The sequence below is a fragment of the Homo sapiens genome, chromosome 7 (assembly GCF_000001405.40).
Source record: "Homo sapiens chromosome 7, GRCh38.p14 Primary Assembly".
In the NCBI taxonomy this organism is placed as follows: domain Eukaryota; kingdom Metazoa; phylum Chordata; class Mammalia; order Primates; family Hominidae; genus Homo; species Homo sapiens.
Genome location: NC_000007.14, coordinates 64,311,466 through 64,339,380, shown reverse-complemented (window position 1 = coordinate 64,339,380; position 27,915 = coordinate 64,311,466). Strand labels below are relative to the sequence as shown.

Below are 27,915 nucleotides of genomic sequence, written 5' to 3'. Positions count from 1 at the left end.
GAAACCTTAATATTGGTCTTGAAGTGAATTTTTGGATACGACAGCAAAAGTACAGCAATAAAAGCAAATATAAACAAATTAAACTGCATCAAACTAAAACACTTCTGTAGAACCAAGAAAAAATAGAATAAGAAAACCATATCTGATAAGTGGTTAGTATCAAAAATATATAAGAAACTCATGCAAATAAAAGGCAACAACTATAATAGTAATAACAAAATTTAAAAATAAGCCAAGGACTAAATAAATGTTTACAAATGAAAACATACAGTTGGGCAACAGGTATATAGAAAGGTGCTCAATGTCACCAATCTGGCAGATGCAAATTAAATTCATTGTGAGATATTACTTTATACCTGTTAGGACTGCTAATATCAAGAAGATTTATAACAAGTGTTGACAATATATTAAAGAAAAGATGCTGTACAATTTTAGTGACGTACAATTTTTTAGAGACATTATGAAATCTAGTATGTAGGTTCTTTTAAAAATTTTTTAATAGTACTGCTATACAATTCAGCTATCTCATTTCTGCATATACAATAAATTTACTATCTCAAAGAAATACCTGCACCTCCATGTTCATTGAAACATTTTTCACAATTGTCAAGATACAAAAGCAATCTAAAGTGTTTGTGGAAACTGACTGCACAAAAAAAAAACATGGCATGTATACAAAATAGAATATTATTCAGCCATAAAAAATAATAAAACCCTGACATTCTACAACATGGATGGACCTAGATGATGTTATGCCGAGTGAAACATCACAGAAACAGACAAATACTGTATGATCTCACTTCTATGGAGAATATAATAAGGTTGGACTCCTAGAAGAAGAGAGTATAGAGGTGAGTGCTAGGCCCTGGAGGTGGAGAAAGTGGAGTATGTTGTTCAAATGGTACAAATTTTCAGTTAAAAGACAAACAAGTTATGGTAACCTAAGGTACAGCTTTATGACTACTGAAAGTAATACTGTTATGTATGCTGAAAATTTGCTGAGAGATCTTAATTGTTTTCACTACAAAAAAGGTAACTTGTAAGGTCATAAATGTGTTTGTTCATTAATTTGATTGTATTAATCATTTCTTTATGTATACACATACAAAATCAATACACTGTATACAATACATAGGTATTCAATTATTATTTGTGAAAAAATTCGCCTTACTGGGATTATATGTGTGTCATACACATGCGTATATAAATGTGTTTATATATATACATATGAATGACACAATCACAGTGAGCTTCATACTAAATAAAACCACAAAACGATGTCGTTTAAAATAAAGTTAAAATTGAGAGTTTAATATGTACTCAGCAGACTGGGCACAGTGGCTCATACCTATAATCCTAGCATTTTGGGAGGCCAAGGCAGGCAGATCACCTGAGGTTGGGAGTTCGAGACCAGCCTGACCAATATGGAGAAACCCTGTCTCTACTAAAAAATACAAAATTAGCCGGGTGTGGTGGCACATGCCTGTAATCCCAGCTACTAGGGAGGCTGAGGCAGAAGAATCGCTTGAACCTGGGAGGCGGAGGTTGCAGGGAGCCGAGATCGTGCCATTGCACTCCAGCTTGGGCAACAAGAGCAAAACTCTGTCTCAAAAAAAAAAAAAAACCAAAAAAAACAAAACAAAACAAAACAAAAAAAATACTCAGCAATGTTTTAAGCTCCCCAATGACATAGTATATTTAATAAACGTATGAAGTAGATACAATGAACTATAATACATACAGTTGAGGAATTTGGCCATATTTACCAACATTTGTTTATATGAAAAGAATAACATTTGAAGTAACACAATTTTAGAGTTTGTTTCATTTAGGGAGATGCTTAGTGTTTTGATATAATTACTGAGTATAAATTTCTGTAAAATCACGTTTGAAGGTTCCATAGAATAGAAAATTATAAAGCAGGAAGCACACATCTTTTTGTGGTATTCCTGGGATTTCTGATCCAAACTGTAATATCACCAAAACTTAAATATTTAGACATTATCCAAAAACAGAACTTAAAAAAATGGTTTAATATAGTTTCTCAAAAATACAGATATTGCTGTTTCCCCAAAGCAATGGAAAAGCAGTCAAATCACACATTTTCTGTCAAGCCATGAAAGACTTTCATTATTGCTGTAAACTAAAAACAAAAAACAAAACAAAACACACACACAACACACACACACACATTACTGAAGGGGAAGTACAGTGCTTGGAAAATTCACAAGAATGGGACAAAAAATGTCCCTATGTTAAAGCAAGAGAAAGAAATGAAGGTTTCTCAGAAACCATTTCCACTGGAGCAGAGCTTCTGGAAGCATGTTTAAAGGTTTGGCTTCCTCCTTGACATTGGGATCCGTCATTTGTGTCATCTGCTTCATTCACTCCCACCTACCTGGGTGTTTGGCTACTGCCTCCTGTCTCTTCACTTTCCAAGGCTCTTTTCTTTGCTCCAGACAGGTCATCAAGTCTGGCTTAAAGATAGCAAGACCTGTTTTATTAGAAAAAAAAACATGACTCTTGCTAGGATAATCTGATTACTAATCTAGTACTATGCTCAGTAGAGAAGAGAGAACATTATAGAAGACTCTAGAAAATTAATTTTAATATACTGTTTCCTAACAGAAACTTTAGAATATTTAGAAAGTATTTTAAATTTGTGGTTCTTAGCTCTATTACCCAGTAATACTGAATCAAAAATCAGCTGTGAAAATTGCATTTTTAGGTGTGGGTAACAATATTTTATGCTACTAAATTTCTGATATTACCACTAATTTAGACTGAAGTATACAGATGAGCTCAAAAAAGGGAAAGATTAATGTTAAGATGAAACATCTTGAAGATTATATTTTCTACCTCAACAGATACCCAATTTTTTCTTTTTGAAGCAGGATTCTGAAACTCATTTATGCAAAGCAGAACCTCCAAAAAAATCAGAAGAAAATAAAATATTTAATGTAGAATATGAGTTGTATATTGAAGTTATTCTCACCCAAGGAGACCAGGTTTCCATAGTTCTCTAACATCACATCCCTATACAAACGCTGCTGAGCAGAGTCCAGGCATTCCCACTCTTCTGGGGAGAATTCTACAGCCACATCCCTGAATGTCAACACTCCCTGGAAAACAAAACATATTTACCAAGTGACCATAGAAAGAATTCTTGATTTGACATCAGGTAAAATGAGAATAAAGATAGCTGGTTCTGACTTATATGAGTTACTGGAGTTATCCAGTAGGATACTTTCTAGCACAGAAATATTCTCTAGTGTATTTTTAACTCTGAGAAAAGATGGCATAAGATCATGAAACCAGTGTATGTGCAATACTTTTCTTGATGATACAGTATAAAATAAAGGACATTAACACAGGCATGTACATTTCTTAATGCTACATTTACATAATACAAGAAAAGCTGTCTATAGTTCCCATATGGAAACTTCATGGTGAGTTAAAAGCATACTTCTCAAATCTTATTGTGTATAGCAATGAACAGGAGATCTTGTTAAAACCTAGATTTTGACTCTGAAGATCTAGCGTAAAGCTTGAGTTTCCAAATTTGTAAGAAGTTTGCCAGTGGTATCGTTGCTTCTGGCCCAAGGAGAATATTTTGTCAAAAATTCAGTAAGTGGCACAGCCTAGGTTTTTAGTTTATTTGACCAGTAAAGAAAGACGAGAGCCTTCATTTTCCATAGCAAGCGATATGCAAAGAGAAGGTAGGAAGAAAGAAGAGCTGTCAGATTAAACATGGCTAAATCTTGTTTTTGCACATCACTTGATAAACTCCCCAAGGTATCTATTAATAGAGAAAAATAATGAACTGTAGAGTGAAAAATATCTGTCAGAAAGCGTATTTACCAAGTAAATAAATTAAGATCAACTATATTAAAAGAAATTTGTATCAGGTGCTGATTAACAAAGAAGGATACAAGACTACTGTGCTATTATTAACATTAACACAAAAAAGGGTCAACAATCTGAGTCTAGTCATGAAGAAACATCAGTTTTAGGCAAAATGTAAGCTACAAATATCTCCCATGTTCTGTAATCTCTAATTTTTGGCTAAACTTTTTTTTTTTTAAACTTTAAGTTCTGGGATACATGTGCAGGTTTGTTACATAGGTATACATGTGTCATGGTGGATTGCTGCACCTATCAACCCGTCATCTAGGTTTTAAGCCCCACATGCATTAGGTATTTGTCCTATTGCTCTCCTTCCCCTTGCCCCCATCTGCTGACAGGCCCTGGTGTGTGATGTTTCCCTCCCTGTGTCCATGTGTTCTCATTGTTTGAATCCTACTTATGAGTGAGAACATGCGGTGTTTGGTTTTCTGTTCCTGTGTTAGTTTGTTAGTTTGCTGAGAATGATGGTTCCAGCTTCATCCATGTCCCAGCAAAGGACGTGAACTCATTCTTTTTTATGGCTGCATAGTATTCCATGGTGTATATGTGCCACATTTTCTTTATCCAGTCTATCATTGATGGGCATTTGGGTTGGCTGCAAGTCTTTGCTATTGTAAATAGTGCTGCAATAAACATATGTGTGCATGTGTCTTTATAGTAGAATGATTTAAAATCCTTTGGGCATATACCTAGTAATGAGATTGCTGGGTCAAATGGTATTTCTGGTTCTAGATCCTTGAGGAATCACCACACTGTCTTCCACAATGGTTGAACTAATTTACACTCCCACCAACAGTGTAAAAGCATTCCTATTTCTCCACATCCTTGCCAGTATCTGTTTCCTGACTTTTTAATGCTCGCCATTCTAACTGGTGTGAGATAGTATCTCATTGTGGTTTTGATTTGCATTCCTCTAATGACCAGTGATGATGAACTTTTTTTTATGTTTGTTGGCTGCATAAATATCTTCTTTTGAGAAGTGTCTGTTTACATCCTTCACCCACTTTTTGATGGGATTGCTTTTTTCTTGTAAATTTATTTAAGTTCCTTGTAGATTCTGGGTATTTGCCCTTTGTCGGATGCATATATTGCAAAAATTTTCTCCCATTCTGTAGGCTGCCTGTTCACTGATGACAGTTTCTTTTGCTATGCAGAAGCTCTTTAGTTTAATTAGATCCCATTTGTCAATTTTGGCTTTTGTTGCCATTGCCTTTGGTGTTTTAGTCATGAAGTCTTTGCCCATGCCTATGTCCTAAATGGTATTACCTAGGTTTTCTTCTAGAGTTTTCATGGTTTTAGGTTTTACATTTAAGTCTTTAATCCATCTTGAGTTAATTTTTGTATAAGGTGTAAGGGAGGGTGGTCCAGTTTCTGTTTTCTGCATATGGCCAGCCAGTTTTCCAAGCACCATTTATTAAATAGGGAATCCATTCCCCATTGCTTATTTTTGTCAGGTTTGTCAAAGATAAGATGGTTGTATATGTGTGGTGTTATTTCTGAGGCCTCTGTTCTGTTACATTGGTCTATATACCGGTTTTGGTACCAGTACCATGCTGTTTTGGTTACTGTAGCCTTGTAGTATAGTTTCAAGTCAGGTAGCGTGATGCCTCCAGCTTTGCTCTTTTTGCTTAGGACTGTGTTGACTATATGGGCTCTTTTTTGGTTCCATATAAAATTTAAAGTATTTTTTCTAATTCTGCGAAGAAAATCAATGGTAGCCTGATGGGAATAGCATCGAATCTATAAATTACTTTGGGTAGTATTGCCATTTTCATGATATTGATTCTTCCTATCCATGAGCACGGATTTTTTTTTTCCATTTGTGTCCTCTTTTACTTCCTTGCTTTAGCATCCTAGAGAGGAAGTCTCTTCTATTTTTTATTCAGAACTTTCTGAGTTATCCTGGGCAATAAAGACCATTCTCATTAAATGTGCATTTTTATAAGCAGTTTTGCATAGATTTAATGGAAGCTAAACAGTACATGGTCTCCTTCTTCACTGATAACCAAAGACCTGATCCCATCTCAAACAGGAATCTTGGGTCTCCACACCCTTCCATGTTCGACAGCCACAGAAGAAACATTTGTAATGTTGCAGGTATAAATTCATGGTGACAATTTTTTCACGGCTTATTAAAAGCTGGGACGTAGGGAATAAGGAGAAGGCTCTGGTATATAAGGAAAAAGTATTTCTCAGAGCCCCTTGACTATCATGAGAATAAAAAGTGAAAAAGGAGTTAAACTGATAAGGCAAAACATCACAAGTAGCGTGTTGCGGGAAGTCAGGGACCCTGAATGGAGGGAGCAGCTGGAGCCACGGCAGAGGAACATGAATTGTGAAAACTTCTTGGACATTTATCAGTTCCCAAATAATACTTTTGTAATTTCTTATGCCTGTCTTTACTTTAATCTCTTAATCTGTTATCTTCGTAAGCTGAGGATGTATGTCACCTCAGGACCACTGTAATAATTGTGTTAACTGTACAAACTGATTGTAAAACATGTGTTTAAACAATATGAAATCATTGCACCTTGAAGAAGAACAGAATAACAGTGATTTTTAGGGAACAAGGGAAGACAACCATAAGGTCTGAGTACCTGCGGGGTCGGGCAAAAAGAGCCATATTTTTCTTCTTGCAGAGAGCCTATAAACAGGCATGCAAGTAGGAGAGATATTGCTAAATTCTTTTCCTAGCAAGGAATATTAATATTAATACCCTGGGAAAGGAATGCACTCCTGGGGGGAGGTCTATAAACGGCAGCTCTGGGAGTGTCTGTCTTGTGTGGTTGAGATAAGGACTGAGATACACCCTGGTCTCCTGCAGTACCCTCAGGCTTACTAGGGTGGGGAAAAACTCTGCCCGGGTAAATTTGTGGTCAGATGGGTTCTCTGCTCTTGAAACCTGTTTTCTGTTGTTTAAGATGTTTATCAAGACAATACGTGCACAGCTGAACCCAGACCCTTATCAGTTCTGTTTTGCCTTTTGTCCTGTTCCCTCAGAAGCATGTGATCTTCGTTCTGCTTTTTGCCCTTTGAAGCATGTGATCTTTGTACCTACTCCCTGTTTTACACCCCCTCCCCTTTTGAAACCCTTAATAAAAACTTGCTAGTCTGAGACTCAGGTGGGTATCACAGTCCTACCAATATGTGATGTCACCCCTGGTGGCCTAGTAAAATTCCTCTTTTTGTACCCTTTCTCTTTATTTCTCAGCCGGCCGACACTTATGGAAAATAGAAAGACTGGGGGCAGGTTCCCCGACAGTAGAGAAGTAAACATTTGCAAGTTCTACACACATGATATTTCAGAAGAAAAAGTTGGACAGTCTCTGACCTGAGACACATTCACCTCAGAATAAGCCATTTCTTTCTTTTTCTCCTTCTCTGTGATCCCTTCCCAGGTGTGATTATCTGCACAAATTACACCTGTTTCTTGAGAATATGCCTTTGAAGCATGAGCAAAACTCCCTCCCCTGAAACCACCACACCCACAGGCAGAAGGACCTAGAATTGCAGATAAAGACTGCCTTTGTTCTTTATCACAAGAGAGGTTCAGAACCAGTAAAATCCTACATAAAAACCAAAATGTGAGTTTCCCCTTTCCATCACTCAGTTGCCTTTCTCTGCCACAGATGCCAGAAATTTCTACTGCAGCAATGGGAATATGGGCCACACTGACCTGCCTCTACCAAATCCAAGCAGAGCAGTCTCTATGATCTTCATTTGGAACTAAAGCTAAACTCACCTCTCGTGAATGTATCTGAAAGCGCTCGTGATTGACCCCGGGCTCACCTTAGCCTCATATGTGGCACTTAATTCAAACAACATGGCTGCAAGGGAAGTGGAGCAAGATGACTAAATAGCACCCTCCAGCAATCATCCCCCAGATAAAACACCAAATAGAATGACTATCCAAATAAGAAGCATCTTCATAAGAGCAAAAAACTCTGGGGAGTGATCACAGGACCTAGTTTTAGCATCAAATCAAAGAGGCAGTGAAGAGGGTAAAAAAGAAAGCTGTTAATTGCCAACAGCAGCCCTCCTCCATTCCCTGGGAGTGCAGCTCAGCAGAGAGAGAAAATCCATGTGCTTACAGAAGGGAGAGTGCGGTGATTGTGAGACTGTGCAGTAAAACTCAGTGCTGCCTGTCATAGCAGAAAGCAGCATGGGGCAGAATTCAGCCAGAGCCTACAGAGGGAGCACTCAGACTAGCCCTAGTCAGAGAGGAATTGTCCATTTCAGTAATCAAAACCTGAGTTTCAGGTAGCCCCACCACCATAGGCTAAAGCACTCTGGGGTTCTAAATAAACTTGAAAGGCAGTCTAAGCCACTGGGACTGCAACTCCTGGGCAAATCCTGGTGCTTTGCTAGGCTCAGAGCCAGAAAACTTGAAGTGCATGTGACCTTGTGAGATGCCTACTGGGATGGCCAAGAAAGTGCCTGCATTATTACCCTTACCCTAGGCACAGGCAGTGCAGTTCACAGCTCCAGGAGAAAATCTTTCTTTCTACTTGAGGAAAGGGGAGAGAAGAGTTAATAAAAACTTTGTCCTGCAATTGGGACATCATCTCAGCCACAGTAGAATATGGCATCAGAAAAAGCCCTGAGGCTCCTATTCTAGGACTTAGTTCCTGAGTGACAGTTCTAGACATACCCTGGGCCAGAAGAGAACACACTGCCTTGAAGGGAAGGTACCAGTTCTGGCAGCATTCATCACCTGCTGAGTAAAGAGCCCTTGGGCCTTGAATAAACATCAGCAGTAACCAGTAAGCAGTAACTTGCTGCAGCCCTTCGGCGGGTGAGACCCAGTACAGTGCAATCCAAGCTGCTGCAGCCATGTGGAGAGACTCCTGCTTGAGGAAAAGAGAGGGAAGAAGGGACTTTGTCTCGAAGCTTGATTAGCAGCTCAGCCATAGTGGGGTAGCCGTAACAAGGTAGCTCCTGAGGTCTCTGATTTCAGGCCTTGGCTCCTGGATGACATTTCTGGAACCACCCTAGGTCAGAAAAAAAACCCACTTCCCAGCCGGGCACGGTGGCTCAGGCCTGTAATCCCAGCACTTTGGGAGGCCAAGGCGGTCGGATCACGAGGTCAGGAGATGGAGACCATCCTGGCTAACACAGTGAAACCCCGTCTCTACTAAAAAATACAAAAAAATTAGCCGGCGCGGTGGTGGGCACCTGTAGTCTCAGCTACTTGGGAGGCTGAGGCAGGAGAATGGCGGGAACCCGGGAGGCGGAGCTTGCAGTGAGCCAAGATCACTCCACTGCACTCCAGCCTGGGCTACAGAGCGAGACTCCGTCTCAAAAACAAAACAAAAAAAACCCCACTTCCCTGAAGCAAAAGAAGCAGGCCTGGCAGAGTTCACCACAAGCTGACCGAAGACCACTTAGGTCTTCAGTGGATATCAGCAGTAGCCTAGCAGTACTTGTTGTGGACTCTGGGTGGTGGTGGCCATGGGGAGTGGTTTCTTATGCTTGATAAAAGAGAAAAAAGAGTAGGAAGGATGTTGTCTCATGGCCTCGGTGCCAGCTAAGCCACAACAGAATAGAGCACCAAGTAGATTCCTAAGGTTTCTGACTCCATGTTCTTGCTACCAAAGGCATTTTGCTACCCCCAGCCCAGAGCTCACTGCCCTGAAGGAAAGGACATGAGCCTGGCTGGATTCACCACCTACTGAAGAGAACTTGGGTCTTGAGTGAACATCAGTAGTAGCTAGGTAGTGGTCACTGTGGGCCTTATGTGAGAGCCAGTCCTGTGCTGGCTTTGGGTCTGACTTAGTGTAGTCCTAGTGATGGTGGCCACAGGGGTGCTAGTGTTACACCCACTCCAGCTCCAGGTAGCTCAGCATGCAGAGAGAGAGAGATTCCATTTATTTGGCAGAATGTAAAAAAATAGAAAAAGAGTCTGCCTGGTAACCCAGAGACTCTCTTGGATCTTACCTATGACCACCAAAGTGGTACCTCTACAAGTCTGCAAGCATCACAGTGTTATTCAAATTGGGGTGCCCCCTAATGCAGATATGACTGCAATGATCAGACTCAGATTACAATACTCAATTCCCTTTGAATACTTGGAAAGCCTTTCTAAGAAAGACAGGTATTAAAAAGCCCAGAATGCAAAAACTAAAATAAATACCTAACTCATTAATGCCCAGACTTCAATGAACATTCACAAAAATTAAGACTATTCAGGAAAACACAACCTCATTAAATGAGCTAAATAAGGCACTAGTGTGCAAATCCTGAGACAGAGATATGTAACCTTTCAGACAGGAAATTCAAAAAAGCTCAGCAAAATTCAAAATAACAAAAAAAAAAGAAGAAAAAGAAATTCAGAATCTGGATCCAATAAAATTGATAATTTTGAAGAATCTAGCAAAAATTCTGGTGCTGAAAATTCAAAAGACATTGAAGAATTCATTAGAGTCTCTCAACAGCAGAACTGATCAAGCATAAGAATTAGTGAGTTTGAACACAGGTTATTTGAACAGATACAGTCAGATGAGACCAAAAAAAAAAAAATAGCCTCAAGAGGGCAACTCTAAGAAATATGGCCTTAAAGAGGAGGTAGAGAAAAAGTTCTGGGTAGAAAGTTTATTCAAAGGGATAACTAGAACTTCCCATACCTAAAAAAAAAGTATTAATATTCAAGTACAAGAAGGTTATAGAATACCAAGCACAATTCACTTAAATATGACTACCTGAAGTTTTTTTTTCAGACAGAGCCTCGCTCTGTCGCCCAGGCTGGAGTGCAGTGGCACAATCTCAGCTCACTGCAAGCTCCACCTCCTGGGTTCACGCCATTCTCCTGCCTCAGCCTCCCAAGTAGCTGGGACTACAGGAGCCCGCCACCACACCTGGCTAATTTTTTGTATTTTTTAAGTAGAGACGGGGTTTCACCGTGTTAGCCAGGATGGTTTCAATCTCCTGACCTTGTGATCCGCCCACCTCAGACTCCCAAAGTGCTGGGATTACAGGCGTGAGCCACCGCGCCCGGCCGACTACCTGAAGATCTTTAATAAAACTCTCAAAGGTCAAAGATAAAGGATTCTAAAAGCAGCAGAGAAAAGAAACAAATAACATTCAAACAAGCACCAATATGTTTGACAGTGGACTCATCAGTGGAAATCTTACAGACCAGGAGATGGAAATCTTACAGGCCAGAACTTTTATCCTAGAATAATACATCCAGCAAAAATATCCTTCTACCATAAAAAAAAAAACAAAAACAACTGACAAACAAGCTGAGAGATTTTATTAACACCCCCAGACCTGTCCCACAAAAAATGCTAAAGGCAGTTCTTCAATCTAAATGAATAGGACATTAATGAGCAATAAGAAAACATGTGGTACAAAACTCACTGGTAATATGAAGGACACAAAGACAAAATTTTTAGTACTATAAATGTGGTGTGTAAACTATTCATATTTTGAGAAGACTAAAAGATTAGTCTATAACTACTTGTAATTATGAAAAGTAATAACTCTTTCTCTACCTCCTTAAGGCCATAACTCATATTTCTACTTTTGAGGCAGTTATAGTTATTAAAAATACTAACCACAACAAGTTTAAGACATAGACAGTATAAGATATAAATACAAACAATAAAATGTTAAAAAGTTGGGAGATAAACTGTAGCTTTTATTAGTTTTCTCTTTGCTTTCTTGTTTGTTCATTTTTACAATATGTGTTAAGTTGCCATCCGTTTAAAATAATGGGTTATAAGATGTTATTTGCAAGCCTCATGGTAACCTCAAATAAAAAACCTGTAATAGACACACATACATAAAATCTAAAAATTAAAACGTACCACTAGAAAAAATCATCTTTACTAAAAGAAAGGATGAATGGGAGAGCGAAAAGGAGAGAGAAAAGACCACAAAACAGCAAGAAAGCAGATAACAGAATGGCAGGTGTAAGTCTTTATTTATTAATAACAACACTGAATATAAATTAACTCCCCAATCAAAAGACACAAATTGGCCAAATGAGTTAAAACAAACAAACAAACAAACAAAAAACCCAAGACCCGACAATTTGTTTCTTACAAGACACACACTTCACCTATGAAGACACAGAAAGACTGAAAATAAAGGGATAGAAAAAGATATTTCATGCAAATGGAAACAAAAAAGAGGAGGAATAGCTACGGTAAACAAAACAGACTTTAAGACAAAAACTATAAAAAGAGACAACCAAAGTTATTATAATAAAGTGGCCAATTCAGCAAGAAAATACAACAACTGCAAATTTATATGCACCTAACATTGGAGAACTCAGATATATGAAGCAAATATTAGAGCTAAAGAGAGAGAGATCAACTCCAGTGCAACAGAGACTTTAAACAGTAGACAGATCATCCAGATAGTAAAATCAACAAATAAACATTGAACTTAATCTGCACTATGAACCAAATAGACCTAATAGAAATTTACAAAGCATTTCATCAAAAAGCTACAGAATACAAATGCTACACTTCAGCCCTTGGATTATTCTCAAGGATGGACCATAAGCTAGGTCACAAAATAACTCTTAAAATAATCTCCCCCCAAATAAGATTATATCAAGTAATTTCTCTGATGATAATAGAATAAAACTAGTAATCACTAACAGAAAAAACTTTCGAAACTATACAAACACAGAGAAATTAAAATATGCTCCTGAATGACTAGTAGGCCAATAAGGAATTTAAGAAAAAAATTTAAAATGTTCTTGAAACAAATGAAAATGAAAACATAACAAAACTATGAATACAATGAAAGAAGTACTAAGAAGGTTTATAGCAGTAAGTGCCTACATCAAAAAAAGTTAAAAAAAAAATCTCCAAATAAACTATTGATATATCATACAGAACTAGAAAAGAGCAAACCAAACCCAAAATTAGAAGGAAAAAATAAAAACTATAGCAGAAATAAATGAATATAAAAACAAAAATTCAGAAGAAACATAATGAAAAGTTAGTTTTTTGAAAAGATAAAATTTACAAAACATTAGCCCATTGGCTAAAGATTTGGGATTCAGGGTCCCATGGTGTTTGAATTACTTTCAGGTCTGAAGGTGCCAAGTGCATTGAAAGATGGGGCTGGAATGGCTGATTGCTCTGCTGTGAAGCTATTTTTCTACAAATCTGGCTGAAGTGCTCTGGAAGGGACTGTGTATTAAAAATAGGCAGATAAATATTCTGCCTGCAGATTTTGGGGCAAGCCAAAGAGAGAAAAGCCTCTCTGAACTAAAGCCTTGTGTGTACCTCCTGTGTTTATATCCTGTCTGGTAATTCTGTACAGTGTTTGGAAAACATAATTAAAAACAAAATTATCTCCAACTTCAGAGACACTCTAAAATGGTACAAGAGAAAGAAAATTTTTTTTTTTACATAATTAAACCACAATGTGATACCCATCATAGGCAATCTGCTGAGATTACAAAAGCAGAGATAAAAATCACCATATTTAGTCTTTAAGTAGAAGACTTAACAGCATAATTTGTCATATATAGTTCATCTTAAATTAACCGGGTAATTGAGAAGCCTATATGTATATTGGGTATATTCAATGAAAATTTAAATTGGCTATATTCAAAAGCAAAATAAGATTTCCTTGGCTTCATAATATTTTATGAAGTTACCTACTGTAGGACAGAAAGGTAATCCATTTACATTTCAATGCAATGGTTTCCAGGTCCTAGAGAAAGACATTTCTAAGTTAAAAAGGCTGACAAAGTCCTATTTACCTGTTTAAATGATGTACATACATTTAACAGAGACACAAAATAAATTTACATGTAAAAGTTTTCTTAAATTATTTTTTAAAAGGAGAGTAAAATGTCTTTTTTTATCTTCAAGTTTCATAATTTAAGTCTGGTATTTCTAATTTGTATTTGCCCTTACAACAGCCAAGTCTAAGGCCATGACCTTGAACTCATGGACATCTGATTTCCAGTAGGCATTTTAATCAGGCACCCGACGAGTGGCATTGGGTACAATTTGTTCACATGAAAGAGGGTTTAGTCAGGAAGTAAAGGCAGAAGAAAGATGCTATGAAGGACTGTTAATCTGAAATAATCTGAATAATCAATAAAGCCTCAAAATCCAATTGTAGAGTTTATTCAAGTGAAAAGCTAGAAATAGTCATCCAGGAGACAAAAGCTCTAGTGAAATAAGATGAGTGCTTCATAGGTGAAAGTTAAGTTCTTATTTCTACAGGCGAAAAACAAATTTAACAAGACTACAACAGTTTCTATACAAGGCTGGCTTAAGATTTACAAAAAATTAATTGGTTACAATGTATTTTTCCAACTTTTTTTTTTTTTTACAACTGGTTTTTCTTTCCTTTTCAACCTAAGCGTGTATTTAACATTTCATCTTAAGACAATGCAATAGCCATAGGTAAGAGGGAGGTTAATCTATAACGAAAGTCAATAGTGAAGGGGAAAGAGGTCTTCCATGGGGCACTTCGGCCATTGACAACACCTGACAAAAGAATGCAGCTGTAGAAGTAGGTGTAATCCATAAACAGAAAAACAAAGGTTACAGCTGCCTTGTTACTGCTGCCTGTCATATTACCCAGATTTTGTACTTACATTCCTTTAAGACCCAGAATAATTTAGAGTATCAAACAGCTTAAATTTTGAATTATTTAGTTTCATAGGACCTATGGGCAGGGGAAAGTCCAGAGTTAGTGGAAAGACTAATTTGTGCTACAGATAGTGGCTCAGAAAGGGTTAGGCTCTGGCTTATTTCTGTGTCTATGCAGGTAGATGAGACTATGATCAGGTGACTCAGAAGCCCAGTTGACTGGATGGAGCAGGTTGTTGCCACAGATTTAGCGTCTGAGGACAGGGATAAGTCTAAAGTCCTCTAGGCACTTGTATCTGGCTGAAATGTGAGCATGGAGATTTGTCCTAAGAGGGTTGTGAGCACATTATTATATAGTGTGCATGTGTCCGGGGGGGCAAAATCACATACTGGTAGCTAAATGGGAGGAGTCTGCCCTCTTAACTCACTTCCTATGTGTCCTCAGTTCCTGTTGACCCTGGGAGAAACATGGCATCACAGAACAATTTACAGTGTGACAGTCTGTGTGCACTAGAGCAGAACCTCCCTTTTCTGAGACACCTGGAGTCTCCCTTCAGCCCGGGGCCTGCCTGACACTTGCTGAGTGATTCACAGGCACGCACATGTCCTTGGCTCCTCTTATGTTATTTGTTGATGATTGACTCAAGTGTCAAAAACATGAGCAAAACAACTCCATTTTCTTTTGAGTAACCCAGGGCATATTGTGAGAAGTTATTATAGCATGAGCATGAAGATGTTTTTATCCCAGCTTTGTTGGAAAATGAACAAATCAAAAACAAAAAAAGAAAATGAACAAAATCAGCAAAAATGGATATGTGGTAGGAATAGATGGAAGCCTTTGACAATTATGCCATGAATCCATATTTTATAATATGTAAGTAATAAAGCAGAATATAACTGCATTAAGAGATAAGATTATGTTTTCAAATAGTTGGTATGTGTTTACTATGAATTTTTGTACCACAAATACCCCCTGCTTTTAGGTATTTATTTTTTTACTTTTTTAAAAAAATCAACTTTTAAGTTCCGGGGTACATATGCAGGATGTGCAGGTTTGTTACACAGGTAAATGTGTGTCATGGTACTTTGCTGCACAGATCAACCCATCACCCATGTATTAAGCTCAGCACCCATTAGCTGTTCTTCCTGATGCTTTCCCCGCCCCCTGACAGGCCCCAGGGTGTGTTGTTCCCCCAAGGTGTCCATGTATCTCATCATTCAGCTTCCACTTATTAGTATGAGAGCATGCAGCGTTTGGGTTTCTGTTCCTGTGTTAAGTTTGCTGAGAATAGCGGCTTCCAGCTCCATCCATGTCCCTGTCAAGGACATGATCTTTTTCCTTCTTATGCCTGCATAGTATTCCATGGTATATACCTACCACATTTTCTTTATCCAGTCTACTGTTGAAAGCAATGTGGGTTAATTCCATGTCTTTGCTATTGTGAATAGTATTTTTTTTTGTTTTACTTTTAAAAACAATATACTGCTTAAGTTTAATTGAAAAAAATAAATTTTTAAAACATACTTTGAGAGCACAGAACCTATTGAAATGTAATCACAAGTGTTTCATGCTCAATAAGCAACTGTAGTTTAATATTTGTTATGAATATTTGTTGACTGTGTTTCAAAATTTCTTATCCGGTATTTTTAAAAAATATTTATTACTTCAAATGAGTGCCCATAATATGGTAAAGATACAAGAGATTTCAAATAAAAAAGAACTCACAGAATTTACATGTTTCGAGGAAAATGTCACAGCTGTAATTGGTTAGAATTTACATAAAGGCAGATGTCTTTATACAAACACATAAGACAGAAAAGCAGAGCAAAACTGTGGTTTGCACCAGGCAAGATAAGGAAAAAAAGAAGGCGCTAAAGAAGGGAATCCATAAACAGTGTGGTTAAAGACTGTAAGTTTAGGTGGCCCTAGAAAGGCCTTACTAAGAATTAGGAGGCTTTAGTAATTAAGTAATAGAGAGTGACTAAGTAGTTTTGTAAAGAGTAAACAGAAAGACATACATTTTTTATAGAATTAAAATGTTGATGGTCCTATTAAACTATTATCTAATCTGTTCCAATAATTGACATATTCTTATTACTGTTATCTCAGTTAATTACACTAATAAATATTTTAATTTTCAAGTCAGGATATTACTTCTGTCTCTTAATATACTCAACGATAAATAATCTGTTATTATTATCTGTTTCACAAATAAGAGCTGTGAGACACAAAGAGGCTGTGTAACTTATAAAAGTTGACTTTTTAATTGTGAGAATAAGTTTCAGGTCCTTTTTAAAGCGAACTTTCTTCTCTATTAGATGTCTTTTGTCACATTCTCAGCCGTAATTTTAGAAATGTCTGTATCTTCACTCCTGCTCACAATGTATTTTGATGTTACTATCTTAACACTTCTTAGAACAGTGCTTGGCATATTGTACATAGCATTATCAAACATGATTCCCAAAGGAAAAAAATAAAAACATAATTTCTATTTGTAGATGATATACTATACCTAGAAACTCAAGAGATTTGACAAATACCAAGATTTAGCATAGTGGCAGCATAAAAAATAAAACTTTATAAAATAAATATAAAAATTGATGTTCTATCATATTGAGATACCACTTCACACACATGAGAATGGCTATTATATGAAAAACAACAGCATAATCCCTAAAAGAACAAGCGGTAAAAAGAAGAGGGAGAAATTAGAATGATTTTTAACTCCTGGTGCAAATGTAAAATGGTGTAGCCACTATAAAAAACAATGTGGACATTTCTTGGAAAAAAAAAACCATAAAATGTACCTTCTTCTATGTTTAGAACATAGAATTATATGATCCAGCTATTTCATTGCTAAATTCAGACTGTAGTTCAACAACATACAGCTTATCACTAATCAATGTTATTTCTGCAAACTAACGAGAATTCCTGACAATGGCTGACTACTTATTCTGCTTCTTACTTTATAAACCGTATTAAAAAGGCCAAAGTTCATATCTTAGGTAACATGCATCTGAGTCTTCCAGGCAGCTGTCCTCACCTTGGCTGAAGTAAATTCTTTAAAATTTTATTTTTTTGCCCCTGCTTCTTCCTTTGGATTGATATTTCTGGTGCTGTGAGCAGGATTCAGAGGGACACCCCCAACCATCCAACATCCCTCTTGAACTCAGAAACTAGTCAATGAGAACCCCTTGTATTCTTCCAGCTCCCAGTACATTGTTGAGTGTAAGGGGTGAGTCCTCCTGAATTCAGATCTCCCTACTATTTCATGAGGTCAAGACTTTGCTTGAGCTGTTCTTTTCAACCCTCACTTTCTAGAAAAAATATTTCCATTTTTGGCTAAAGTCAGGAGATTTTAATTTCAATATTTTTAACTGCTTTCTCTGCTACTGTCTCAAGACAGAAAATCTGGGTCATAATACTGGCAGTCTAGCCCTGGTGGTTTTACTTCTTTTGTTCTAAAATTAGGTAACATGCTTTAAAAAACACAGCTGTTTTCTATTGCTTCTAATTTGAACTTGACTTTTTGGGACCTTCAAAGCAAAAGGTGCATGGGAGTGAATTCTCTCATCCCAAAGATAAAAGGCAATTTCTTTAACTGACTCATTTGGGTGCTCTAGGCAACTAGAGACTTTGTAGAGGTGTTAGGATGATTTTCAATGCTTTGTACCAGTCTCACAGGGTCCTCCCAAAAGAAAAACACCTGCAGAGACTTTTAACTAAGCTGGAAGTAAACATAAGCATTGCTCACCCAGCACTATAATCAGCAACTCTTGGGTGACACCTTGAGGAGTGATGCTCATACACAGCACACTTAGACCTGGTACACTGCTCTGGCCATGATCACCTTTGAAAAGTTTCTAAATTATGGAAAACTGATCATCAAAACCATTCTTTTCCTTCTAGGTAACATGCCTTAGAAACATAAGCTGAACTTATGTATAATACCTATGGAGCTTCATCTTGCAAATGCCTGGGTAAATGTACCGACATGACTTCAGATGACCCCAAAATGCAATGACAAAAATGAAGGTCTTATGACATTTCTAAATTAATATATTTCCATGCACAATTGGAAACGGCAGGTTTTAGAATGAAATTTAATGAAAGGCCTTCTTTCTGTTTTGCCTGGCTACATTCTAATAAGAGATTTCAAAGTACATTTTAAGAGGGCTCTTTCACTTCCTCAAAAAAAAACCTTTTAAATGTTCAAAATGCCTGTTTGATTGCTGCAGGATTTACAATACATACTTTAACTTTTTCCAGTCTTTTCTCAGTCTCTCGGAGATGTAAATCTTACCATGTATTTGAAATGTTAACATCCAGAGAATTAGCAAAACAGCATTCTAGCTGAGATCAAATTGGAGAAAAAAAAATTGAAGTTTTTTTAGACCAAACCTCAAAATTTTATTTCTCAATGAATTATCTCTAGCTTAGGCAAAAAAACATTACATACATAATAATTAATTACTAATGTATTTGTTTTTATTATTTGATTTTTGCTCTTGACCTTCTGGAGTCCACATTTGTAAACTTGTCTACTCCCATAGACAGCTTTCATTCTCCTGTTTTACCAACCATTTCTTAAAATCTTGTGTCTGGCCTTTGTGGGTAGATGGTAAACTGAGAAGCTGAGATACTAAAAAATGTGGCCTGAAAATATAGATTGCAACCCACTTGCAGTAAGCTGTTCTTAGGAGAAGTTTTGATTACAGAAGAGCTACAATTTTTTTGTTATTTCTCTGAAGTTTTAAAGTCATACAGGATTTCTTGGATTTGGCCTCATGAATGTTTGTGTTGGTTTTTAGTCACTAGTTCAGGTATCCCTTTAATTTAAAATTTCAGTTTATATTTAGAGTGTAATAGAAACTTTTGTTGTTTTGTTTGTTTAGTCTTCTCTCTGGAACTAAATAAAACCATATACTGTGGTTTGGAAAAAAGAAAACTATTTACTGAAAAATTTCAAAGAGAAACAGCTTTGAATAGTGATTACCCTAGGCCTCCAGTAAACAAAAATGCCCCATCTCCAAAATTCCTTCTTGATGTAAATTTTAGAAAGAAAAAGATAAATTTTAGAAAGAAAAAGACAAGTAAAGAAATGTTTTTGTCTGAGCGTAGTGGCTCACACCTGCAATCCCAGCACTTGGGAGGCCGAGGCAGGCAGATCACGAGGTCAGGAGTTCGAGACCAGCCTGGCCAACATGGTGAAACCCTGTCTCTACTAAAAATACAAAAAATTAGCCAGGCGTGGTGGCAGGCACCTGTAATCCCAGCTACTTGGGAGGCTGAGGCAGGAAAATTGCTTGAATCCAGGAGGCAGAGGTTGCAGTGAGCCAAGACCGCTCGACTGCACTCCAGTCTGGGCAACAGAGCAAGACTCTGTCTCAAAAAAAAAAAAAAAAAAAAAAAAGGGAAGAAATGTTTTCTATTTACCTGGGTAAAATCTAATTTTAAAAAATTTAAAAGCTCTACAGTCAAAAGTCCATTTATTTAGAATTGACAGTCAGGCTTAGTCAGGCATATATATATATATATATATATATATATATATATATATATATATATACACATACACACACACACATACATATACACACACACACATACATACATACACATATTTTATATATACACACACACACATACATATACATACGTATTTGAGGCCTATGGTTTTCCCATATAAGGTCTTTAGTTAACTGAATTTCTCTCTCCCTAGACTAGCATCTCTATGTGTCCGTTTCTTCTCTTGCCGACATGATTTTTGCAAGGATAATGTAAAACTTTACTGGCTCTTTGGAAAACAAAGTCTTCTCAAACTGTCTCCTCTGGAATTAATTCTTCCATTTACTTCTATCTGTCTCATGTTCCACTTAAAACCTTTTGTCACTATAGAGGACAACTAAAGGAAACTTCTAGCAGCCTGAGACCCCTTGAAGAGCACAGATAAAGTGCCACAGGCTTCTCCTTTTTGGCAGGGTACCTCTGTTTTTCCTCATGAAGCCCCCAGAGTTGTGGGTAAACAGTTTCTTTTCAGGTCTGAAGCTCTACTCCCTTTTACAATGAACTCCCTCTCTAGGGCTTTTAGATACAAACATGAGTAAGTTATATGTTGTGTCTACATGTATATATATGTCTATAAATGTCTTTGTGTATTATCTACATGGTACTGAATTAACTTAAAGATAACTGGTCATGAATTAAAAAAATAAGCCCAATATTTTTAAGAATATGTGAATTGAGTAAATCTTTTGGTAAACATGACTAGTTTAATATTGTTAGTTTAATTTTAAAAAAGTCTTTTGACTTCTCAGCAAAATATGTATATATTTAACTTTATTGCTTTTATGATACTTGCCCAACATGGTAATATAAAAATGGATAATAGGAAGTTTAACTTTAGATGAGTATATTAGTCTGTTTCATGAGATTTTACAAAAATAATTGTTAAGAATAAATAAATAAAGCATGTAAATGGGACAAAAGTTTATAAACTTACAATACTGATTGTTTTGTAATGTGTTTAATTTAAATAGTTTCTCAAATCTTTATGGAAACTACACTCGTAGACTGTTGCTAAGCTACATTAAATGATGGCTATTCATTAAACATCTAAATTATCTCCAAGTAAGACAAAATGCTAAGATATTAATTTTTAAATACAAGTTTAAGCTAAATATTTTTGGTTTCTTCACAGAAACCAAAGATATTTAGATCTGTTAGTATGCCCTATTCCACATTAAAAATGTTTCCATTTAAAATCCTATGTTTCTAAAAATTAGAAAATATATCTTTATAAAATTTTAGTTCATGACTAATAGTTAAAATTGCTTACTTCTCAGGCTTTCACTATAAATTAAGATTATTAAAAATTAAAATTCTGCCCAAGATTCGTAACTAAAACTATTGTTAAGGAGAGAAACAACTTTACATACACAGTACAAAGAAAATGTGTTTCTTGATGAAAAAAAAATATTTTAGAAACAGATGTGAGAATGTGGTTTTTCTTAAAGAAACGGCAATTTTGCTGAGTTTAGAGGTTATTTAAAAAATACATAAAATTGAGAGAAAAAAGATAAAGAAAATGAGGTAAACTTAATGGATATAGAAAGCTGGAGAAAGAGAAAAATAAAATTTTAAGGGGTTATAAAAGGTTTACAGAAATCTTGTATGGTCAAAGCTGATTGAGATTGAATACATCTGTTTATAATGCTTTCCTAAGGTTAGCTTTAATATTAATAATATAAAAATAAAATTTGATTTTCTACTTTTATGAAGAAGATTTACTCCAAATTTGTTGGAAGGAACCATATTAGATTTTCTTGGCCAGTACCTGTGCCACTAAATTGAAGGGTAATGTCTTTTAAAATATCTGGTCACTGCTCTCTCTACATAGCTCTGAAAAAACCCAGTACTGGACAAATTCTCTCTAACTTTTCCACAGGCATGGCCACCAATCTGTTTTAGATTAAGATTCTATTTGAAAAAAATCTGCTAATTATCTGCCTGGCTTTCAAAAAACAGCTTCATTCATTTTATTGGAAAAAAATGTTTTTGCCTTGGTGAGGTGTCACCTCCCATGAACACATGATTAAAAATATTTTTATAAGCTTAGAAAAAATTACTGATAAAACTGTTACATCCATTGCAGCTCAAAAAAAAGCTACTGATTCACTGGCTACGATTATACTAGACAATCATATTGCTTTAGGTTACATATATTACCTGAGCAAAGATATGTATGTATGGTGGGAAATATCTTTTTATTGTGTACACATAAATACTTCCTACAAAGTAGAAATTTTTTAAAAAAATGAGTTGGCCACTGTCACAAATTCTCCACCCTGCACAAGAGAGAAACTGATGTTTTCATGAATGTTTTGTAATTTACGTGTTAATCTACCACACTTTCTTGTAGAAATGTATTTATTTTTCTGCAGGCATCATGAGAGAGACATTTCCTCTGTCTTTTCCCAGGTAGCATTCCCAAAGCTAAGCCCTGGGATTCTGTTTGAAATCATGCTAAATAGAACAGACGCGGAATCTTACTACACTCACTGTGGGAAATATAAAAGGTAAATGAGAATTTTCAACCAATGGAATATAAACTATTTTTTTCTAAAATCTACCTCTTTTCTTTTAGAAAATTTTTTTTTTAATCTTTCAAGCTCTAATGATAAAATCCATTATACAATTAATGAAAAACTGAAGTTGAAATAACTGAACATATATATTGAAGGTGACAAACACAGGGAGAAGTAGTGCTGACTGGAACACAAATGTTTTAGACTCATGTGTCAATCACTTGAGAGATTCTCCCACCCCCATTCTGCTCACTAAAGTACTTGATCATCACTCTCCCAAAAGATACTGCACTTGCCCCCTGTGTGGCAGATGTGTATTTTGCTTTGCAAATTTATACACTCCCTCACTAGAGTGGATCTTTCCTGTACTTTGGGACAGTTATTCTCCTTCACAAGCCTGAGAGAAACCAGAGGGCAAGATGCATTTGTGCCTTTTCCCCTCAATATCAGCACCTGATTGGTTGACCACCAATGTGTCTGCAAGAAATGAAAACTAGGATTGAGGGGAAAAAAATCTTAATGTTAAAGCAGTTAGCTTTTTAGAGGAAGGGTGAATCAGGAAACTGCTCTCAGCACGAGGGCATCCAGCTGCTCCCCTGAGAGGCTCCACCCAATGCCTCAGGCTCTTCTCTGAAAGGAGATGACCCAGGGGCTAATGTTTGCTAGACACTCCAAGAGATATGGTCCTTGTGGGTATCTTGGATCATCCCCAGAAAGCTGTAATACTTGGACCAGGAAAACACAGGAGAGTGACTGAGGACACATCACCCTGCAAAGGATCCAAAGACATTCTGGGAAGGCGCGCGTGCCTAGAGAAGATGAGAGGAGATGCGCAGTGTCAGGTGACTACTCTTTGCTTTTCTGTCCTGTGAAATATGCACAAACAGACTAATATATTAAAAAGAGCCACCCACGGCTCTGTTAAACAAAAATAAACAAAATGCCACATCCGTTTTAAAATTAAATAAAGAACTGATAGTTCATAATGTGATTTGGAGAGGGATAGTTGGCATTTGGGAATGTGGGAAAGAAATTGGAAATTTAGAATTTTATACAGTCCCTAGAACAGTTAGGCTGGGAGAACAGTTTTAGATTTGAGACCCTGCTTGCCAAACATTTGAAAAATGCAGAGAAAACCAACGACCCTGTGGAGCATTAAAATAATTAAATAGCTAGCAATTAGGCTGAAGTGGCCATGGTGCCCTGGGATTCTGCCTAAGGAAACCTAACTACGTCGAAGGAATTTCTGGTAAATTATTAACTTTGAGAAACAACAACAACAACAACAAAACAACTTAGGCTTAACCAACCACAAGCTGCCAATAAAAAGCTCTAATTACATAACCAGGACATTTCCACCGGAGGGCTGCAAATGCAATACGTAACTGTAACCAATCAAATATTGAATCTGGTTTGCTTCCTCATACCTCTTAAAAAAAAAAAACAACCTTTTGTTCCAAGACCCTCCTTTGAGCCCCCAAACAACAAATCATAGCTGGGTGTTCTCTGATTGATAAATTACTGTTTGTGCAAGTAAACTATTTGTATTAATCGCTTCTGGCATTACTATAAATACCTCAGACTGGGTAATTTATAAGAGGATTAATTGGCTCATGGTTCCACAGGCTGCATAGAAAGCATAACACCAGCGTCTGCTTCTGGGGAGGCCCCACCCAGAAAGCTTAAAATCATGGATGAAGGTGAAGCAAGAGCTTGAAAAAGAGGCAAGGTGGGGTGCTGTACACTTCTAAATGATGAACTTCAGGGAACTCACTCACTATTGAGAGGACAATACCAAGAGGAATGGTGCTAAACTATTCGTGAGAAATCCGGGCCCACAATCCTTCCACCAGGCCCCACCTCCAACATGGGGGATTACATTTAAATAGGAGATTTGGGCTGGAAAACACATCCAAATTATATCCTAAAGTTGCCTCAATTTAGGCTAGGGTGGTGGGTCATGCACGTAATCCCGGCACTTTAGGAGGCCCGAGGCGGGCGGATCACCTGAGACCTGAGCTCGGGGAGTTCGAGACCAGCCTGAGCAACATGGCAAAAGCCTGTCTCTACAAAAACAAACAAAACAAAATAGGCGTGGTGGCGCACCCCTCTAGTCCTAGCTACTTGGGGGGCTGGGGTGAGAGGATCATCTGAGCCCAGTAGGTGGAGGCTGCAGTGAACCGAAATGCACTTTAGCCTGGGCAACAGAGTGAGACACTGTCTCAAAAATAAATAAATTTAAAAAAGGGCCATGATTTTATTTTTAAAAGGAGAAAGGAGGGACTAGGGACCCCACGGCCCACTGCTTCTTCCACGGAGGAACTCCAGACCCTAAATGAGAATTCCCGTCTTATGACACTCCCAACACCCCCACACAATCTGGAGGAGGGAGACTCGAGGTTGCGGCACAGAGCTGCCCAGGAAGGGATCTGAGCTGGGGAGAAATTCGAGTTTAGGGACAAAACAAGACGTAGCGTTTTGGCTGCTGGCTCAGCCCCTAATCTGCGATGGAGGGAAATGAGGATTGAGCTGTGCCCGCGGGGACTCGGGGATGCAGACTCCAGAGCAGACCGCGAGAAGGCCCAGATACCACCGCAGCCGGTTCCGGCCGGATTCAAACAGCCTCTTCCCCATTCTCGGGACACCCACTCCACGCACTCACCATTTCCCAGCCTCCAGATGTTCCGCCGTCCTCCCTATGGATCTCCCAGTACCTGCAGGTCACAGGATAACAGAAGCTATAGTAGAGTCACCGAGGAACTCCAGGAACGGAGGAGATGGAACAGTGGAGACGCGAACTAGGATCAGAGCCCGGAAGCTAGGAGACAAAGGCCCCGCCATATTGAAGAGGCCGCCTCTTCCTCTGTAGCTGCGCACTTGATTGGACAGTTTCACGCTGGCGCCACTGATTGGCTAGGGCTCCAGGCCCCACCCGTTTCAATCCTAAGTGACAGAAGATGTAATCAGACACTGGGCTGAATGAGGCAAGGGTGACAGGTTTTTGCCTGCAGCGTTTTCAGGCGAGTCCTCCCTGTGCTGGGGGCCTGGCCCTGCCTGAGAGACATTTGTATTTAACCTTGCATATAAGATTATATCACTTTCTGATTATATTTTCGTGTGTGTGTATATATTACATTCTGAATTATAGTTATGTGTATGCTGCAGGCCCTGTCTCAGCATCCTGTCTTTCCCTTTAGCTGCAGGAGATCAAAGTCCTCCAGGAGATGCAGCTGCTTCAGCTGGCTGTAGACAATTATCACCTTCAGTCTGTGAAGCAATTTTGGGTCTGCTTCCAATTAATGGAGTGTCTCAGTGAGACTGAGAGGTGAGGGCCTAGCAGATTGGTTAGAGGTGCCACTCGCCCAGGCCTCCCAAAACACCCTGTCTCTTTCCCACCAAAGCTGAGCCTGCCTGAGGACCTAAACAAGCATGGAGAACCAAGATGGGACCCTAGTCAGGGATAGTGCTGGGCTGTGGGGTAAAGTCAGCTAGGTCAGGGCCTCCAGGTGTGGGGAGGAGCCGGCCTCTTCTGTAGAGCCCTGGGCAAGTCACTGCCCTCTTTGGGCCTCTGTTTTCTTATCTAAAAAATGTAGGGATGATGAGCCTCACAGGGTAATGAGGAGCTTCAAAGGAGAAAAATTTGAGAGTGCTTGTGCCTGGCTCTTCCTGAGAGAGATGATGATGAGAACAATGGTGACGGCTACATATAACTGAGTCCTCACGAGGCCCAGTGAGGTAGGTGTGGTTCCCATCACACTTTCAAGTTGAGAAACAGTCTCAGGGAGGCCTGGCTGCATGCCCAAGGTTCCACACACAGTGAGTGTTGCAGCAGGGAGTGAATCTAGAATCAGAGTTTACTGGAGGTGGCAGGAGCACTGGACCAGCTTGACTCACACCAGTTATCCAGGGTACCAGGTCAATGTAACTGGGCATAACTGGGTGAAGGGAGCATAATATCACTGACCTTGTCCTTGACCCTGGCAGAGGAAGACACCCAAGTTGGCCACCCTAGAGAAGAAACCACAGAAAGCCCAGATGAGGCTAAAGCAGCAAAAAGGCAGGTACCTGTGATGGGGAAGAGCTCCAGGGATTCAGAGGGAAGAGCTCCTCCCTCCCAGCTGGAGGCCTCCACATCAAAAGAGCAAGGGGCCTTTCTCCCTCAGCCCTTCCCTCCTGTGGCAACAGTCCCTGAAATGCCTCTATAAGAGAAATCAGAGTAAAGGCCTGGAAGAGCTGGGCTGAGTGGATTTGGGAAACGGTGGAGCTAGGGACCACATAACATTGTGACTTGTTAAAATCTCACCACAGAGTTAATAAGGGAGTGCTTCATGTTTTTGGAGGCCAGCTAGGAAGAGGGGAGAGAGTTGGAGAGAGGCAGCTGCGTGTCTTTGGCTTTTTCAAGTAAAAGATGTGGATAGGAGAGTCCAGGAGATGGGGGCTTATGAGATTTCAGGGACAGGCCTTGAATGGACACCCAAAAGTGGATACTCATCCCCATCACCACCTGATAGCACAGGGTGTTGCTGACTTTCACCTCCCCACTCTCTCCCAATGTTGCCCCAGCTGCTCACCTTCCTTTTCTTTCTGGGTGTTACATTTCCCTAGAAGTCAGCCAATGGTCATCAGAAAGGCCCCTTGGACCCTGACTAGGTCCCCTCCCCACACTCTTCATACTGCATTACTGCCAGGGCCACCAGGGGCAGGGGATGTGCACAAAGCAGGACTTGGGTCTGCAGCAGGTTCTGGGGTTCAAAGGGGACAATGGGAGCTGAGGCTCAGGGACCTCCCACCCCAACTCTCTTTGATGACAGACATAAAAACTGAGGGCTCCCATTTAAAAAAGTGCTCAGCCAGGCCAGGCACGGTGGCTCACACCTGTAATCCCAGTACTTTGGGAGGCTGAGGATGGTGGATCACCAGGTCAGGAGTTCAAGACCAGCCTGGCCAAGATGGCAAAACCCCGTCTCTACTAAAAATACAAGAATTAGCTGGGCGTGGTTGTGGGCACCTGTAATCCCAGCTACTAAGGAGGCTGAGGCAGAGAATTGCTTGAACCTGGGAGGCGGAGTTTGCAGTGAGCCAAGATCATGCCACTGCACTCCAGCCTGGGTGACAGAGGAGGCTCCATCTCAAAAAAAACCAAAAAACAAAAAACAAAAGTGCTCAGCCACATACGAGCTGCCTGCCCTTGGAGAGGCCTAAGTTTACTATCCTTCCATTGGCACCATCTGAGGGAGAGTCTGAGTCCAGCTCAGGCAAAACCTCACTGGGCTTTGCAAGCAGACAGCTCTGCAGCTTCATCACTCAGGGAACAGGGACTGGTGGCTGGTGTGGAATCTTCAACATTCAT

The 27,915-nt window shown here is 38.7% G+C and overlaps 1 protein-coding gene across 2 annotated transcripts in view, besides 2 other annotated features; it reads right to left on the bottom strand.

The window, feature by feature from the left end:
* Positions 1-25,420, bottom strand: part of ZNF736 (zinc finger protein 736) — a 42,674-nt gene extending 17,254 nt beyond the window's left edge. Inside the window, exons 1-3 of one of the 2 annotated variants that reach the window (NM_001170905.3) lie at positions 25,228-25,420; positions 2,996-3,122; positions 2,399-2,494 (exon numbers count right to left, since the gene is read on the bottom strand). In NM_001170905.3, the coding sequence (NP_001164376.1) occupies positions 2,399-2,494; positions 2,996-3,122; positions 25,228-25,230 (226 nt within the window). In that variant the 5' untranslated portion in view covers positions 25,231-25,420. Of the gene's footprint in view, positions 1-2,012; positions 2,495-2,995; positions 3,123-25,227 lie in introns of those variants that run through there. The other variant, NM_001294255.2, reaches the window with a different exon arrangement.
* Positions 16,263-16,463: a silencer, noted in NCBI's record as "peak6529 fragment used in MPRA reporter construct". NCBI's record gives its function as "represses an SCP1 promoter by STARR-seq MPRAs in K562 erythroleukemia cells {active_cell/tissue: K562}" and the evidence as "EXISTENCE:reporter gene assay evidence [ECO:0000049][PMID:32103011]".
* Positions 25,188-25,367: an enhancer, noted in NCBI's record as "active region_26057". NCBI's record gives its function as "activates an Ori minimal core promoter by ATAC-STARR-seq in GM12878 lymphoblastoid cells {active_cell/tissue: GM12878}" and the evidence as "EXISTENCE:reporter gene assay evidence [ECO:0000049][PMID:35858748]".